The 19,036-nt window shown below is 45.4% G+C and overlaps 1 protein-coding gene across 3 annotated transcripts in view; it reads left to right on the top strand.

The window, feature by feature from the left end:
- Window positions 1-19,036, top strand: part of XYLT1 (xylosyltransferase 1) — a 369,192-nt gene that overhangs the window by 296,822 nt on the left and 53,334 nt on the right. For all 3 annotated transcript variants that reach the window (XM_047434458.1, NM_022166.4, XM_017023539.3), the window contains one exon: window positions 15,230-15,310. In XM_047434458.1, the coding sequence (XP_047290414.1) occupies window positions 15,230-15,310 (81 nt within the window). The remainder of the gene's footprint in view (window positions 1-15,229; window positions 15,311-19,036) is intronic.

The raw sequence follows: 19,036 nt of genomic DNA, 5'->3' as shown, positions 1-19,036 counted from the left end.
TTTTGGCCACCCTCTGGAGGGCCAGCCAGGGAACAACCACAGAGAGGTTGGTCTTGGTTTGGTCTCTAACTCTTGGGTTCGTCAACATCCCAAGGACCACAGCTTCCCTGAGAAAACCTTTGATGACTGCACATTGCAGCCTGGGGAAGCCTGCCACCCTTCTCCCTCACTCAGAGCCAAATAAAAAACAAGGGCTACCAGATAATCAAGCGATTACTATGTGGCAGGCACTGGATTGAGTCTTCCACACCCATGATCTCATCAAATCTTTGCTCAACTTAGACAAGGAAATTGAGGCTCAGAAGGATAAAGAAACCTGCAAGGTGGTACCGCAAGGATTAAGGAGTAGAGATGATCTTTAAACCTATTTCACCTTTTGCCGAATGATGATTCTGCAGAACAGCAGCACGTCAAGCTGTCACTCAGTTAGGCTCGTCTCAGCTGGACCTGCTGATGTATCTGCCTTAGCATGAAAGGAATTCTGTCCGAGTTTGTGAATTCCATTCCAGGAACCTGGCACAGACTCGGAGATTGCATTCAACCTTTGTCCCTGTGTGCATTGAGCAACTATAATATGCCAGACATGGCGCTAGCCAAGCCTTGCTCAACTGAGGTTCCTCATTTGAGCCACAAAACACAGGAAGTGGGCAGAGTGCCTGTGTTCTTGATTCTAGCAAGGATGGTATGTGACTAGTATGCTCTTAATGCATAGAGGGAAGCTAATCCAGGATGTACGTGGATGCCTCGGAACACCAAAGCTCCATTCTCAGAGGGATTTTGTCTTCATCTTCACTGTTTCTCCAGCATCTGAAACAGCACGTGACTCATAGTAGCTGTAACATAAATGTTTGCTGAATGAGTACGTGGAGGTAGTGTGGCGTGCACAAATCTGCCTTCATCTACTACACGTCCTGTTTGACAATTTATAATACGATCCTGTTTTTACAATGCAGCCATTTAAATACTCAGAGACCTGGCACTGAAAATAATTCATCAGCGAGCAATGAACTTGTGTCAGCATCTTCCCGGCAGAGTTTATGTGATCAGATCCCAGATGACATTTGTTACTAATTTGGTTTTTTTTGTTTGTTTGTTTGTTTGTTAGTAAAGCACTGTATCAGTCACCATAGGAGCGCAGAAGGAGCAGGACTAAGGTATTGCCCCTGAGTAAATACCTCTCTGGGAAAAGAAAGAAATATCTGTAAATGAACAGCTTTTACCCAAGAAGCAGGAGGTATGAGCTCATGTAGAGTCAAATAAAACCCGGGCTTAAATGTCCTCAATGAAATGGGCCCATACAACTCAAAGTGATACCCAGCTGTTGAAAAAGCAGAATTCATGTCTCAAGTCAGAAATGAACACAGTCGGCCAGGTGCGGTGGCTCACGCCTGTTATCCCAGCACTTTGGGAGGCTGAGGCAGGCGGATCACCTGAGGTCAGGAGTTTGAGACCAGCCTGGCCAACATGGCAAAACCCCATCTCTATTAAAAAGTACAAAAATTAGCCAGATGTGGTGGTGGATGCTTGTAATCCCAGCTACTCAGGAGGCTGAGGCAGGATAATCGCTTGAACCTGGGAAGCAGAGGTTGCAGTGAGCCGAGATCACGCCACTGCACTCCAGCCTGGGCAACAAGAGCGAGACTCCGTCTCAAAAAAAAAAAAAAAAAAAAAAGAAATGAACGCAGTCTTTGGCACATAGGAAGATGCTCAGCAAATGCTTATGGCAGGGCCTGAATTGCTGAAGAACTGGGAAATTGTATTTACCAGGAAAGCTAATAGAGCTTGCAGGATCTTAGAGTTATGAAAGAGCACAAAACATTCAGAAAACTTCAAGTAATTCCAAAGATTGAGTAGGCAGGATGCAGGAAGAGAAAGGAAAGAAAAGGACAAAGGAAAAGGAAAGAGAAATGGAAGAGGGAGAGAAAAAAAAGGGAGAGAGGAGGGAAGGAAGGAGGGAATAAAAAGAAATTTAATTCACAGCTGCAAGAGTAACATAGTTAATACTTACTAAGTATTTACTGTACACCGAGTACCCATGCTAACAGGTTAACCTGATATCATTCCTTCTAACCCCAAAACAACTCCACAAGGCATGTCATATTGCGATTCCTGTTATTATAAAGGCAACAGTGCTGTTCAGAAAAATTGTCATCTGCCCAAGATTGGGCAGTTAGTGAGGGCAGAGCTCAGCCAGTTCTGCTATTGAGTAAGATGCCAGCCTCCTTCCTCTCCTAAAGGAGAACTGGAAGTTAAATTGGCCGTTTTTTAAATGATTTTTGAACACTTGTTTTTAGGCTACTAAACCATTTTTGCACAATTGAAATTTTACCCAATATAGGGGTGGAAGTGAGTCCTCAGTAAGGAAACCTCTACTGAGGTGTCTTGAGGCCCCAGCTGCCCAGCCCCAACCTGGGGTTCCCCCAGATGCAGCTTAAAAACCGATGATCTATGTGATAACGTCTCATTTAAATCATTTCTGAAGTTTTCTTTGCCTAGGAACTGTCAAGTTACTTCAAGGCCTGTGTCCTCTGTTTAAAAAGAAAAAATCCGTTTAAAAATCCTTTTGAAATTTCTCATCAGCCCTCTGAGATAAACAAGTAACCTTGGAAATCTGTGGGTAAAGAGTCTACTGGACGCAGCATGTCCTGATCCTCCAGAATCGATCTCTGTGTTGCAGAAACCACAGTGTTTGTTTTTCCATGGTGTGTATGACTTCTTGCCTGTGTTGCAGTGCATTTTGACCTTGTTCCAATACAGACAGGCAGGTGAATGTGGCAAGCTGCCCAAGGAGAATGAGATGCTTGGTGACACTATCAACTGTCCTTCAAGCTCAATCTCACCTTGGGGCTGAAATCCAAACTGACCCAGTCCCAAAGTTCTGGGAGTTAGAGATCCTTGCTGTATCCTACTCCTGGCACAGTGCAGACTCTAGTCCTGGAGAATTCATGATAATAAAAATAATAACAATAATAAGATCTGACATTCTAGCATTCTGTGGGCTAGGTTACCTAAGCTGTACTAGATCTCTCTTGTTTTCACTGGCTCAACACTCATTACCCGACTTCTGATACCAGTTTCTGTATCAGCTAGAATTTTGTAGTTGCAAGCAACAGATTATTCCCTCTTATTTCATTACATCTTCAACTCTATAAGGTAAATAGTGTTATTATCCTCAATTTTAAAAATGACAAAATTGAGCATCGACTAGCTAAAAATGACCTGCCCAAGGCCACACAGCCAATAAGTAGTAGAACTAGGACTCAAACCTACATTTCTCTGATGTCAGATCTGCATTATTTTAACCACTGCAAATTCTGATACATTAGTGTAGGTGCGTTAGGAAGACCTATGTGGTGAAATGGAAATGGACAAATTAGTATTATAGGTCATGGTGATTATTTGAATAAACCCAGGGCAGGATGAATGGTGAAAAAGGCATCTGTTCTCAGCCATAAGCACAAAGAGAAAGGTCAGCGTGTCAGTACAGTTCAGTGCCATTCAATGGTTATTTATACTCCAGCCTTTCCCAGTGGAACTGACATTGAGCCAGCTTTTGCAAAGGCAAGCAGGAGTTCTCTAGGCAAAGGTGTAGGAAGGATGTTTCTGGCATTAGGGATGGTATGGACAAAAGCCCTCATTCTGTCCTGCAACACAGTTGTGCTGAGCAGTTTCCGTGGGCTACAGTGAAATGGGCCTGGGGACCCAAAGAGAAATAGGCATAAGGCTGATGGAACCTGTCATGTTCCTGGCCTCTGTGCTGGACAGTTGGGGAACATAGATGACCCAGATAAAGTTCTTGTCCTCAGGTAGCTTACAGTCAAGCAACTTGAACATACATAACTTAAATTTTTGCTAGGAACCACAAGTGTGTAAGAATTGAAATGTCACAGCTTGGTAGGAAACTAGCAAGGGGTGGACATGCCTTTCTCTCTGCATTTCTAGCGAAGAATATAGAAACTTCTTTCCAAGGAACTCCAGTTACTGCGCACCTGCTATGCACCAGGCACTGCATGTACCATACCCACAACACACAAGTAACTCATAGACCATTGTTAAATGCTCCCATTTGGCAGATTAGAAAACCAAGGCTCAGTGAGCCTGAGGAACTTGCTAAAAATCAAACGGCAAGAAAGTGGCAAGGAGCAGAGAGAAACTACTGTAAACACCTCTCTGAAAACAGCTTTCCTTGTAGCCGTGTCTTGGCTTTCCTACTTAAATTGCATTTACTTTTAAGATTCAATCTTTCGATGCCCTCTGAAGTGGACCTCCCCTGGTTCCCTGAAGACCAAATCAAATAACTGGCTGTAATCAATCATTGTATGGGAATGCAGAATTTGGTTAACTAAATGTTGTGCACATTTGAGATGCCTCATGGCATGTGAGGACAAGCAGACTTAAGAGAATCAAAATACAGTTAAATAGACTTCATATACATATGTGCACACACACGATCCCCACCCTCCCCGCCCGCCCCCCAACCCACCAAGCAGAATGTCAGTTTAGTTCATTCATGATTCCGGTGGCGTCCTGGGTTCCTGCGTGGCCCCTGGGTGCTGATTGTTGTCAGTTACCTTTCCATTACAGCCGTCTGAAGGAAGGGCTGGTGTGTTAAGAGTTCTCATTGATAGAACATCAGATAAACTGCCTCTTAGAAAGGCATATGTATGTTTAAAATGAAAAATGTGTTTCTTACAAATGTCCTGTGAAAGCACTGAGGCTTTGTGAAATGGTTTGCCGGTCCATTCAAATACAATGAGTGTGTTTTAATGCCACATCATTTTTGTCAGTACAAAAAGGTAAATCCAATTAAAACTGATTGGGTTGTAACAACCAGGTAGTTCTCCAGTTTACTGCCTGCCTTTGTAGAAGGAGGTACTGTCCCCCTGGTGTCCCCAGCATACTTTTTGTAGCCTCCCCTGAATGCTCGTGCTTCAATTCATCTGCTGTCTCACTTCATATCACAGGGACCTACCTATATGTCTGCATCCCCCAGTGTTCTGTGCGTTCCTTGAGGACAGGTGCCACAACCATCTTACCCACTCCTGTCCCAGGCGTTTGTCACAGGGCCTGACCTATTGAAGAAGTGGAAGTCATATTTTTCCCAGGAGACCAAACAGTGCTTGCACAGTCTTAGAGTTATGAAAGAACACAGAACATTTAGAAAACTTCAAGTAATTCCAAAGATTGAGTAGGCAGTGCCGGGTCACAAACAACCTTGCATGCCTTGCCAAGGGGTAAGGACATTGTCCTTCAGATGATGGAGAGCCGCTGAAGGTACTGAGTCAAAGGGTGACATGGTCAGACTCATGTTTTAGGAAGATCCTGCAGCTGCTTCCTGGAGGACGAGGTAAAGAGGAGCCTGGAGGCCGGGCCAGCATTTTATCCAGTTCACTTTTCCTCAGTTGCTCATGGTGGCTGGAATTATGCCTGTGGAGTCCAGGAAAACATACTCTTTAGCATTTTTCATACCTTTTCCTCCGTATCTTAGCAAAATAAGTCTCTGTAAATTTGGACTACTTTTTAAACTTTAAAAAAAAAAGTCACCTTTTATTTTAGATTCAGTGGGTACGTGTGCAGGTTTGCTCCAGGGGTATATTGTGTGATGCTGAGGTTTTGGGTATGAAGGCCCCCATTACCTAGGTAAGTGAGCATTGTACCCACTAGGTTATTTTTCAGCCTTTGCCCTCCTCCTCTTCCCTCTCTAGTAGTCCCCAGTGTTTGTTCCCATTTTCATGTCCGTGAGAACCCAATTTTTAGCTCCCACTTATAAGTGAGAACATGTGGTATTTAGCTTTCTGTTCCTCTGTTAATTCACTTAGGACAGTGGCCTCCATCTGCATCCATATTGCAGCAAAGGACATGATTTTGTTCTTTTGATGGCTGCACAGTGTTCCATGGTGTGTATGTACCGCATCTTCCTTATCCAGTTCACCATTAACGGGCACCTATATCGATCCCATGTCTTTACTATTGTTAATAGTGCTTCAGTGAACATACAAGTGCATGTGCTTTGACTGCATTTGAATCAGGGATTTGCCTTTTTTCCAGTTCTTTTGCTCTTGTCTCTTCTTCAGCAAGTCCCGAACTTGGCCTTTATTCACTGTTGGTCTGCAACCCTGGACTTCCCTGATTTTTCCAGTGGGTGAGAAGATGTCAGTAAGGTCCTTGCATAAACCGTCTGGAGTGTGGAGGAGAGAGCACTGGCAGTGTCTCCTCCTCCCCCAGATAAGCCGTGGGGAAAGATGGTTTAGAATCCATTCACGAGATGGAAGGATGGGTTAGAATCCATGCACGAGATGGAAGGATGAGTTAGAATCCATGCATGAGATGGAAGGATGAATTAGAATCCATTCACGAGATGGAAGGATGAGTTAGAATCCATGCATGAGATGGAAGGATGGGTTAGAATCCATTCACGAGATGGAAAGATGGGTTAGAATCCGTTCACGAGATGGAAGGATGGGTTAGAATCCATTCACGAGATGGAAGGATGGGTTAGAATCCATTCACGAGATGGAAGGATGGGTTAGAATCCGTTCACGAGATGGAAGGATGGGTTAGAATCCCTTCACGAGATGGAAGGATGGGTTAGAATCCGTTCACGAGATGGAAGGATGGGTTAGAACCCATTCACGAGATGGAAGGATGGGTTAGAACCCATTCACGAGATGGAAGGATGGGTTAGAATCCATTCACGAGATGGAAGGATGGGTTAGAATCCATTCATGAGGCAGGGGGAGGAGGAAACTTACTGGACTTCAGATTTTACAGGAGCACAGGAAAAAGACATACACCCTGAACAGAGGTTCTACCTGTATCAATTCCTGTTGTGCGACTCGCACTCAACAACAGTCCCCTTGAAGGGAAGTAGTAGGCTTCAGAAGGCAGCTGCAGTTTCCTGTTTATTTCCTGCCTCTGTCTACAGAAATGGATCACATTCCTGAAGCTTATTCACCACGGGGAAAGCGGGATTGAAAACAGCTCAGGCTCTGGCCCTGGGGCACTGAGGTCTGCATCTCCCCTCCACCACTCATAAGACCTGGCACAAGCTGTGAAGGCTCTTCCAGTCCTAGTTTATTCATCCGCAAATGAGTACCTCCTGGATGTGTATTGTAAAATTAAGGAGGACGAGCACTTAACACTTGGTGAGCAACAAAGGGAAATCTTTCTGCAATTGTTATTATGAAGCATTTTCTCATGAGTACCCTGACTCTGGGATTCCTTCCCCCAAATCACCCCCCAGTTCATTGGGCAAAGACGTAGGGAGGAGCATTCCTGGCAGAGGGTATGGAATGGGCAGAGATGTGGATACAGAAGTGGATGATGGGCCAGGCACAGGGCCTCATGTCTGTGGTCCCAGCACTTTGGAGGCTGAGGCAGGCAGATCACCTGAGGTCAGGACCAGCCTGGCCAACATGACGAAACCCCATCTCTACTAAAAATACCAAAAAAAAAAAAAAATAGCTGGACATTGTGGTGCACGCCTATAATTCCAGCTACTCAAGAGGCTGAAGCAGGAGAATCTCTCGAACCCAGGAGGTGGAGGTTACTGTAAGCGGAGATCGTGCCACTGCACTCCAGCATGGGTGACAGAGCGAGACTCTACCTCAAAAAAAAAAAAAAGTGAATGATGGACTGAGCCCTTCCCATGGGGCAGGTACTGTCTGTGCTGAGCATAGAAGCCACAGAGATGAACCCTGCATACCGGGCCTCTACTTGGGCTTGCATTAAGCAGTGAATACTTACTTAGCACCTTCTATGTGTCAGGTCCTGGAGGAACAGATGGGAATTGGACTCAATGCCTGCTCATCCCAGGACTACAGCCATGGTCCTGAAAAGCACTGTCCGAGGTGCTGCCCCATAGTCCAGATGCTGGTTCTGTTGGCAGACAGATGATCACCAGCTGCAGCAGCTGCTCCAGGCATGGGAGAGGATGGTTCTGCCCTGACCCCGTTGCTTGACAGAAGGTCCTTTCCATCTCCATGTGAGCCTCCTTTGTTTTCCAGGGTCCGCTGGTGGTTGGTCCTTTGGGGAACCCAGAAGGCCCCTGCTTAACCCCACCAGCCTGCTGGAGGAGCCAAGAGCCTGCCAGCTCTGCAAGACATCCCAACTCCATCACCTTTGCAATTTCCTTCTTCCTCCCCATGCTCCTGGCAGCCACAGGCTTGGTTTCTGTGCAATGATGTGAGTCTTGGGCAATTCTTAGAGAAGTCTCATTCCGTGTAGTTTGCTTTCTGAAATTAAAGACTGAAAAATAATCCTAGAGTGAACAATTCCATATCTGCAAATTTGATCCTACAGAAACCTATCATGCCCACATGTGAAAAGATAGTTATTCAAGGGTGTTCAATGGAGCAGTAGTTGTAAGGGGGAGAAAATGGAAATGACCTAAGTGTCCATCACTAGGGCATTGGCTATGCCCATTCTTTTTGTTTGTTTGTTTTTTGAGGCAGAGTTTCACTCTTGTCACCCAGGCTGGAGTGCAATGGCACAGTCTCGGCTCACTTCAACCTCCGCCTCCCAGGTTCAAGCAATTCTCATGCCTCAGCCTCCGAGTAGCTGGGATTACAGGCGCCCACTACCATGCCTGGCTAATTTTTTTTTTTTTGTATTTTTAGTAGAGACCAGGTTTCACCATGTTGGCCAGGATGGTCTCAATCTCTTGACCTCATGATCCGCCTGCCTTGGCCTCCCAAAGTGCTGAGATTACAGGCATGAGCCACCATGCCCAGCTGGCTACGCCCATTCTATAGGATCCTGTGCAACCGTTAAAAGGATGAAGTCTGCCTGTACGTGCTGATGAGTGAGAGAAGCAGCATAGGTCATTACACAAAAATCCATGTATATACATGTTCCCGTTTATATAATAACAAATGGATATAAATATAATAGCATCTACCTCTTAGGGTTGTCATGAGGATTAAGTGGGTTAATAGATGCAAATACCACATAGGAGGCATTCAAGTGTTAGATGATGATGATGTTGCTATTGCTGGTATTTCAGTCTTTATCTTGCTGTGATCTAAGCTTTCATAATGATTTTAAAGGCATAGGAAAAGGTTACAATAGGCCCTGCCATTATCTTGTTTTCTATACATTGGGTTGATCACAGGAGGGTGAGATTTTTGCCTCTGTGGAGTGTGCACTTCTCCTGTGGTTACACAGCCCTCAATGGAGCCATGTGCCTGGGGTCACCAGCTCATCTTCATTTGCTCAGGACCATCCAGTTTTAAAACTAAAAGTCCTGTGTTGTGGGAACTCCCTCAGTCCTGGGCAAACCAGGACAGTTGACCTCTTCCATATGTGCCTCTGGTAGCCCAGTTGATTTAAGAAGTATACAGACACGTGGTCGTTAATGTTTTTAATGTGTAACAGGGAAAAAAATAACATACAGGTGGTACATGAGAGAGTATTATTCAGCCTTAAAAAGGAAAGAAATTCTAAGGTATGATACAATATGGATGAGCCTGGAGGACATGGTGCTAGTTAAATAAGTCAGCCAGCAAAACACAAATCCTGTACAATTCCACTTATGTCAGGTACCTAGAATAGTTAAAATAGCAGAGAGGAAGTAGAATGGGGGTTGCCAGGGGCTATAGAAGAGAGAAATAGAGAATTATTATTTAACAGGTAGAGAGTGTCAGTTTTGCAAGATGAAAAGAGTTCTGGAGATGGATATTGGTGATGGTTGCACAACAATGTGAATCCATCCAGTACCACTGAACTGTACACTGAAAAATGGTTAAGATGGTCTACAGACATATCACCCTGAACACACCCAACCTCGTCTGATCTCAGAAAAATGGTTAAGATGGCAAGACTCTGTCTCCAAAAAAAAAAAAAAATTTGTGACATCAAATATCACAAACATTGGTGCATAAGATAAAGCTAAAGTAGAATTTAAATTAAATAGACATATGAAATAACTTAAAGATTATGGGTACACTAGAAGCAGAAGTTGGGGAAACACTGTTGTAGTCTATTCTCAGCTTAGGTTGAAAGCACCTCAACCCTCAACTTCCTCAACTTGCCTGACTTCACAGTCCCTCATGCACCAGCATAGTCTTTCTTTTTTTTTTTTTTTTTTTTTTTTTTTTTTTGAGACAGAGTTTCGCTCTTGTTTTCCAGGTGGGAGTACAGTGGCGCGATCTCTCCTCACTGCAACCTCCACCTCCTGGGTTCAAGCGATTCTCCTGCCTCAGCCTGGGATCACAGGCGCATGCCACCACACCTGGCTAATTTTTGTATTTTTAGTAGAGACGGGGTTTCACCATGTTGGTCAGGCTGGTCTCTAACTCCTGACCTCAAATGATCCACCCGCCTTGGCCTCCCACAGTGCTGGGATTACAGGCATGCCTGGCCTCCCCATAGTCTTTCATGTGTGTTTCTGCCCCACAATGGGTCGTTCATTGCAGTCCAGGAGGACTTACTCCAGTGTCCCCTGGGCTCTGTGCACACCTGGCAGCATCAGAGGTTTGAAATCCTGAATCCTGACATTCACAAAATCCTGCGTATAACTTTGGCTTTAGTCCTGTCACCTCACCGTTGGGCTGTGAGCACCTCTGGCAGGGTCCTTGACAGTATCCTGCAGTCGGGAAGGGGTTCTGGGGCATGAGTGCCAGGTGGGCACCGGGAGCCCAGAGAGGTGCAGTTGGCTTTGTGTTGGGCTCCTTCCTAGTGGAAGCTGAGCAGGCTTCATCTCTTGTCACATGCCACCAGCAAACAGGCATTGTGTGCCTCTGTGTGCCCAGGGCACCTTTTCCATACAGCCTGGGCTCCTGGGTGCTATGGGAACCTGAGAACTCTGCCCTCTCTTCCTTCATATCTTCATGTCCAGAGCTGTTATATAGATAAGACACACACACAATGGTGCCATGGCCCTCTGGGAGCCAGTCCCTAAGTCTGACACCAGCTGGGAAGGGACCTTGGACAAATCCCCAGGAAGGGGCCTTGGACATCTCTTAAACTATGCTCTGCAGAACATTCCATGGGTCTTATGCACAGAAAGCCTTCCAAGTTCAAATCAGGTTGGGTCTTTACACTGTTTTCCACAGTTCAAGGTGTCTTAAGCTTCTGATGTTCAAGATGGTAATAATAATGCTATTATATAATAGCTGACATTTATCAGGGGATTACTATATGCCAAGTACTGTGGCACAGATATTAGGTGCATTGTTTTTATTTAATACTCTCAAGACCTAAGGCTTATTGAAATGAAAGTAATTCATTCATAGTCCGGGTTCTCCAGAAGAAACCATGAGGAGCAGATAAAGATGGAAAGCAGAGAATTAACTACTCATAGTCATACATGACTTACAGCAATGCTTCTGAAATTTTAAAGAGCACATGCATCATCTGGAATCTTGTTTGAAAACACATTTTTGCTCAATAGATATTGGGTGAGCTCTGTTGCTCAATAGGTATTGGGTGGGGCCTGAAGTATGGCATTTCTAATAGCAGTGGGCTGCAGACCAGGCTATGAAGAGGAAGACATTATTGCGCCTGTATTTTTTTTCTTCTGCACTTGAAATGGAATACATTCATTCATTCATTCACTCGTTCATTCACTATCATTTGTAGAGGCAGTCTCGTAGTAGAGAACACAAGCTGTGACATTTGTCCCCAGGTTCCAGTTCTGGTTCTGCACTTTACTAAATGGATGATTTATCTAAGTCTCGGTTGCCCGTCCGTAAAATGAGAGTGAAGTGAAATTCCTTTTTTTTTTTTTTGAGACAGAGTCTCACTCTTTCACCCAGGCTGGAGTGGAGTGGAGCGATCTGTGTTCACTGCAACCTCCACTTCCCAAGTTCAAGCAATTCTCCAGCCTCAGCCTCCTGAGTAGCTGGGACTACAGGTGTACATGCCCACACCTGGCTAATTTGTTTGTATTTTTAGTAGAGACAGGGTTTCATCATGTTGGCCGGGCTGGTCTCAAACTCCTGACCTCAAGTGACCCACCTGCCTCGGCCTCCCCAAGTGCTGGAATTACAGGCATGAGCTACCACACCCAGCCAAAATTTACATTTTTTAGCATCATTGTGACTATCAAATGCAATAAAATGTGGCAAAAGTCTTTCCCCATGGCCTAGGGCATGGTGCACATTTAGTAAATGGCTGGGACTTGGGAGATTATTGTATTACTCATTTTTTTATTCATTTCGAAAAAGATTCTCATATGGCTCCCAGTAAGTTTATTTTAACATTTATTTCTTACTTATTTCAGCAGAGACTTCCCAGTGACTCCCATGGTGGTAGCAACAGGCCCCAGTTATCCTCAGGAAGCAGAGGAACTGGCATAGACCAAGAGACATGATTTCTAATCATTTCAGCAAAAAGTAGGAGGAAATTGATGATGAGATAGATACAAGAGATGAACTATGGGAACCATTTGGCAAATGACTTCACCAGAAAAAGAGAGTGAGAAACGTGTGTGAGTGGAAGAGAGAGAGAGAGAGAGAGAGCGCGCGAGAAACTGGAACGGGGTAAAATGTCACCAGATCGCAAGCTGTTAATTATCTGGAGAGAACTAAATATTATGTAGGCAATTATCGACAGGCGTCTGAAAGCAACAATAGGAGAATTTGGTCCTCAGCCAAATTCCATCTCCCTTTGGAGAAGGACTGGGGGGATGGGCTTTAGCATTCAGAGCAAGCATTTCACACAGAGGGAGAGCGAGGGGCCCGAGACCCTAGCAAGGGGGGTAGGCAGGGGTCCCCCCGCCCCACCCTTCCAGACAATCCATCAGGATCCTTTGCCAAGCACACAGCGCTTGGCTTTGAAAGGCGGCTTTGCCCAAAAGCTCTGGGCCTGGAAACCTCAGCCCCCTCCTCATCCACCCTCCCTCCCCCAAGATGTCATCTTTTGAGACGATTTCATGTGGAAGCATCGCTAAGTAAATTCGCTAAATGCCTATTCATCCCCGTCAGATGGGGACTCGGTGAAGCGGTAAATGTGAAAATGGCCCCAGCTCACAGCCCTGAAAGGCGCTTTCTGGGATTGCCAAATGGAACTGCAGCCGCTGACCCTGGGAGACCTGAGGCTTCACGAGAAGGGGGCCCAGGAGCCCCGGCCCGGCCCCTTCAATCCTCCCACTAAGGGTGTCTGAGAGACCTTATTTATTATTCCAACTGCCGGGGACCCATTCAGAGGTTAACTTGTCTCGTATTCATCAGGACAACAATAATGAACTGTTGCGGAGAGTGGTGAGGGGGTTGGTAAATAAGAGCTGTTAAAACGCAGTTGGAATGGGCCTCTTTATGGTTTGGAGAGAAACATTGCTTAAATTTTTTTATAGGCCGATTTAGTTTCCACCTCTCCCAGCGACTTATTAAAGAGGCTCTGTCCCCACAAACTACAGGTAACAGTGTCGGAGGCACCAGTGGACTTTACCTTGGCATGCACGATGGGGTTTAACCACGCGGGAGATGCACCATTGTAGGGACACGTGGGGTTAGCCCTTTGCGAGCATCCCCTGGGTTCACCTCTGTGCCCATCAGCAAGGTTTAGCTTTCCGTGTGTGTGCTGTATTCAACTCCCTGCAGACACACGGGGTGTTTCTGGTGCCTGCCGCTGCTAGAATGGCTGGTTTTGAATTGGTGTTTATTTCAGTAATAGGATGGGACACGAGCAGCGCTCATTTTCACTGCTGCCTCTCTTAACTGCTTTGTGCCCCCTCCGCTGGAATTATGAGTTGGTCAACATGAGTCATCCAATGAGAGAACAGGGGCTTGGAGTGGCGAGACTGCAGAGGCGCAGGGAAATGAAGGAGGGGGTGAGCAGTAGGGGCAGCTCAGACCAAAGAGTTGGGAGGCAGAGCAGGACGACGTGCATTGATTGTGCCCCTACTGTGTGCCCTTTAAATCCACCCAGTTGTCCATTCAGTATATATGCATGATGGGCCTACTAGGTGCTGGGCATGTTTAATTTTCAACCTAGGCGCATTCAGAGAAAGCTGCCATTCAGTGAGGTTAAATGACATCCTTGGACACACAGCTGACTCAGTCATGGAGCTGGGATCTGTCCCCAGATCTTTCTGTTTCTGCCCAAGCATTGCTTTCTAAAGCACTGTCCTGCTTCTCGAAGGTCTAGCTTCTATTATAACCCCAGAGATGTTTTTTTATCTTTCTGCTCTCTTCTCTGTTCCTCCCATTTGAAACAATAGTTAACGCTTTCCTTTGAAGTAAAAATTCCGAAGCAGAGAAGGCTGGTGATAAAGGAGCTGTCACATCAGCACCATTTACCTGTTTGGGTTTATTCAGCAGAAGAGGCGACTGCGTTTCTGGCAGATGGAGACCCGTGTGACTGCCTTTTAAAATACTGTCACAGCTGTATGCGCAAGCGGATTAGCTGTGATTACACTGCTAGTGCTGAGATTGATGGGGATAAATTTGGGATAACAATGCTGGCAACGATGTCACTCGTTTGTATTGGACTTCATATTTTTTAAAGCTCTCTCAATCAGTAGCCCCGTGGTTATCGAGGACTTGGTATCCGTCCATTCATTGATGCATTCATTGCTCAAAGTGCATTTGAAGGAGTCAGTTTGAACACACATCACTTTGATTCATTTGTTTATTCAACAAATATTAATATAGCTCCTACTGTATGCCAGTGTTGAACAAATCCAGCTGGGCTCTGTCCTCGTGGAACTTACATTCTAATGTAAGCAAGGTCAGTGCTTTCAGCTGGTGATACAAGAGTGAAGTATTATAAACAGAGTGATGTAATAAAGGTGGGGAGAGAGCGGGAGGCAGGTACTACTTTAGGTTAAGTGGTCAGAAAAGGTCTCTCTAAAGAGGTGGTATTTGAAAGGACACCTGATGACAAAGCCAAGCCAGCAATACTGGGAGAAATTTCCCAGGCAAGCAAATGCAAAGGTCCTGAGGTTGCTGTGCATTTAGCTTTGGGCTGACTTGCTGTTTGCCAAGCCCAGTGCCAGGCACTGGAGATTCCCAAACATGTGGAGCACCACACTTGCCCTCACAGAGTCTCCAGTATATTGGAGTATAGAGGAGAGAAATGCACAAACAGCCCATTTTAACATAGTGTGATAGAGTCAGTGATGGTGACATAAAAATGGCGATATAAAGAGGATGCCTTATCAGCCTGTGTGCAAATGATCAGAGAAGGTGCTTCAAGCAGACTGACATAATTGGTGAAACTTGCTTTCTGTGACAAAGACAGTACCCACGGTGTCTGGCCTGACTCTCCCCTTGGTTTGTTTCCACAGGACAAATGACCAGTTGGTGGCGTTTCTCTCCCGATACCGAGATATGAATTTCTTGAAGTCACACGGCCGGGACAATGCAAGGTAGCACCTCAACCCCTACCCCTGTACAAAATGGAAATGAAAATCTGAGTGATCATTTGGGGAATTTTCTAGGCTGGTTTCATGCAGCCACAGAAAGGTTGAGGGTGGGAGAAAGGCTTGGCACCAGCTGTCCTTCGCTGTGTCTGCGTGGGATCTGAAGTAGTCCCTTCTGTCAGCCAAGGACAAGATAACCATAGATGTTTCTCATGGTGTGACAGCCCTTTTGATTACTTCCCCCAAGGACTTCCACAAGTCCAATATCTCATTGCAGCAACCCTTTCAGTAGGGCACCCACGGTTAATTCTCATTTTATTGATGGGAAGACTGAGGCCCATAATGTAAGCAACGTCCCCAGATCGTTCATTCAGTCAGCCACTCATTCAAATACTTAACAAGCATGGGCGTGTGCCAGTTGCTGTTCTAGCCGCAAACAAGACCAAGTCCTTCCTCTCAGGGAATTGACCTGTAGTGGAAAAGAGTGTCATACCAGCATGGACTTGAACCCAGGGGTCCTGATCCCAGCCCCATGTCCTCCTCACTCCCTCACTGGTGTCCAACACATCAGCAGGGGTGGGAGGCACCCAGAACCCCAACCCAGATCCCTCACACCTCTCTCGCTTAAAATGAACAATGTCAAAAAAATAGCATCTCTGCAGTTCAGCATTGAGCTGAGCCCAAGTCTCCATGATGGTCCATCAACTGGAAGGGATACAGTATTGAGCGCCCCCTGTAGGTGACATCACGTGATGGGATTCCTCATTCCAATAGAAAATACCATTAAAGGCCAGGCGCAGTGGCTCATGCCTGTAATCCCAGCACTTTGGGAGGCCGAGGCGGGCAGATCATGAGGTCAGGAGTTTGAGACCAGCCTGACCAACATGGTAAAACCCTGTCTCTACTAAAAATACAAAAATTAGCCAGGTGTGGTGGCACATGCCTGTAATTCCAGCTACTCAGGAGGCTGAGACAGGAGAATCACTTGAACCTGGGAGGCGGAGGTTGCAATGAACCAAGATTGCACCACTGCACTCCACCCTGGGCAAGAGAGTGAGACTCCATCTAAAAAAGAAAACAAAAAAAGAAAACACCATTAAACACCAGTCCAGGGTGGCTCTGACATCCCGGGGTCTTGTTCTAGCATTGAACCTGGCAGTGCTTGGGATCATTTCAGCTTGTTAACGTGCATGGTTTAGCTCTCAGAGTGTTTTGTTTTGTCTTGTTTTCATTCAGGTGCTTCATTTGAAAATTAATAGCCCCATTTAAAAACAGCAGTATTTCCTATGAAAATCCAGATTTCTAGCCAGTCTTAAAAAATCTGAAGGTCCATTAAGTCTGTGCCTGAATTTTCTCATGGCAGTTATTTCCTGGATCTTAGGTCGCTCGGTCCTTGCCTGTCCCCGTTCCCCAACCTGGCCCCCGACCACATCTCTGTTTGTAATCTCTGCTTTAAATCTTCACTGCTGTTGTTGGTGGGAGTGTCATTTTGGCTGGCTCTGTGACAGTTTACCCAGTTATCCACAGCATGGGAGGAACAAAAGCAAGCAGGTAGCTCCGTCTCCTGAGCTTTAAAGAAGTAATCTGGCCAGGTGCCGTGACTCAAGGCCTGTAATCCCAGAACTTTGGGAGGGTGAGGCAGGCGGATCACCTGAGGTCTGGAGTTCGAGGCCAGCCTGGCCAACATGGTAAAACCCCATTTCTACTAAAAATACAAAAATTAGCCGGGTGTGGTGGTGCACACCTATAATCCCAGCTACTTGGGAGGCTGAGGCAGGAGAATCGCTTGATCCTGGGAGTCGGAGGTTGCAGTGAGTGGAGATTGTACCACTGCACTCCAGCCTGGGTGACAGAGGGAGACTCCATCTCAAAATAGAAAAAAAAAAAAAAGTAACCCTAGAATCCTTGTGTTGTATCATTTTTCTAAATTGAAACTTTGATTTCATTCTGCTATTTATGGATTGTTCCTGCCCCTACTCACAGCCTACCTTCTTTACATTAAAAAGGAGGCCTCTTTCTGCAACACCCGAACTTGAAGATGCTCTGTAAATTAGCACAGATTAGTTTACTACGCTCAGGCCACTAAGAGTACAGAGGCCTGGCTGGATGAGTAAGAAGAATCATGGCCACTGTGTATTGTGTTCCTACTAAGTGGGCCCTTTTTGTATAGGATCCATATTTGTTTTCACAGCCACTCAATGCAGCTGTAAGAATTATTCTCCCCATTTGTCAAGCTTCTGGAGTTTACCTGATTTTTCTGAAGATCACACAGCTGGTTAAATGCTAGAATTTGAACCCAAGTTTTTCTGGCCCCATAGCTGCAGGAGCAAAGTGGGGCTGGGCAAGGATTCCATGGAGGTGGTTAATTGTCAGAAGTGGCTCAGACATTGGTATTCCTCGCCCTCAGGTAGAGAAGGAAAAACCCTTCTTCTTCTCCAGGTAGCAGCTAATAGGTGATTTGTGCAAAGTTGTGTCTCGAGAAAGGAGCCCATTGTAAATGTATCAACTTGTGTGTGAATTACATCCACCCTAGTATTAACTATTTCAGCCTAGTCAGGATTTATTCTCTGAGCACTATTTGTCAGGCACTGTGCTAGGAACTGAGTATAGCACAAGTTAAAAACAGGGACTGTGAGGTTACACCTTCTGGTTTGGAATTCTGATCTACTGTGTTCTAGCTGTGTTGCATTGGACGAGTGACTTAACCTCTCTGAACTGGTTTCATAATATTTGAAAATATTAATAGACCTATACTCATTTATTCATTGAGAAGATTAAATGAGATGCTGCATATACAGCATTTGGCATAGTAAATGTTTATGATGATGGTGATGGTGATGATTATGTCATTGTTATGATAAGCATAGAACTAAATTGTTGCTGGTAGGAGAAAGAAATAGATGGAGAATGGGCCTGAATTTTGCCTCTAGGTGCCTGAGTACATTTTGTATAATTGATGTGCATCCGTAATTGACAGGTGGTACCCAGATGTCTTGGGACAACATAAAGAAGTCTCAGGCTGAGGAAATGCTTCTTACACCTCCCTCCAAGACCCTAAAACCCAAAGGCCTCTTGACAGAATAGCTCACAACTTCCAACTCTTGCGTGTGAGTCCCCAGCTGGGATTTTCTCATTTACCGGAAGTTAGGGCAGTGATTCAGCATTAATTTAATAGTAAAACAAGCCAATGTCCCATTCACTGGCCACTTCCCTCTTTGTTAGCTGTGGCCTCACCTGCTGCACGAATAAGCCTACCTATAGCCCATCATCCATGGTCCCTCCCAAGTGACCAGAGCTGGGCGTGGCTTGCTCAAGTTCTTTCACTGGTGATGTGTTAGGGAGAACTCTTTTGGTGGGAAATGACAGAAACCCAGCTCAAACTAGCTTAAGGGTAAAGAACATTACCAGATCAGGTAACTAAAACATTAGGGCTGACTTCAGGTATGGCTAAATCAAGCTGTGCAAATTATATCATCAGGCCCAGACTCTCTATTAGTTCTGTTTTTCTGTGTGTATGTTTAATTTTCTGGCACTGGGTGGGGATTATTGGCAATATATTAGCCTCCTTTTATAGATAAGGGAACTGAGACTCAAAAAGATGAAGTTACTTGCTCAAACTCACAGCACTAGGGCAGCGGGGAGGACTCACACCCAAGTGAGTGTTCACAGAGTCCAAGCTCATAATTCTCACGTGATGAAGCCTCTCTGTGTTCTAGGCCTGCTTTCTTCCAA

Source organism: Homo sapiens, chromosome 16 (genome assembly GCF_000001405.40).
Source record: "Homo sapiens chromosome 16, GRCh38.p14 Primary Assembly".
NCBI classification, from domain to species: domain Eukaryota; kingdom Metazoa; phylum Chordata; class Mammalia; order Primates; family Hominidae; genus Homo; species Homo sapiens.
The sequence above is the reverse complement of the archived record's forward strand: the minus strand, read 5'-3'. Positions and strand labels throughout refer to the sequence as shown.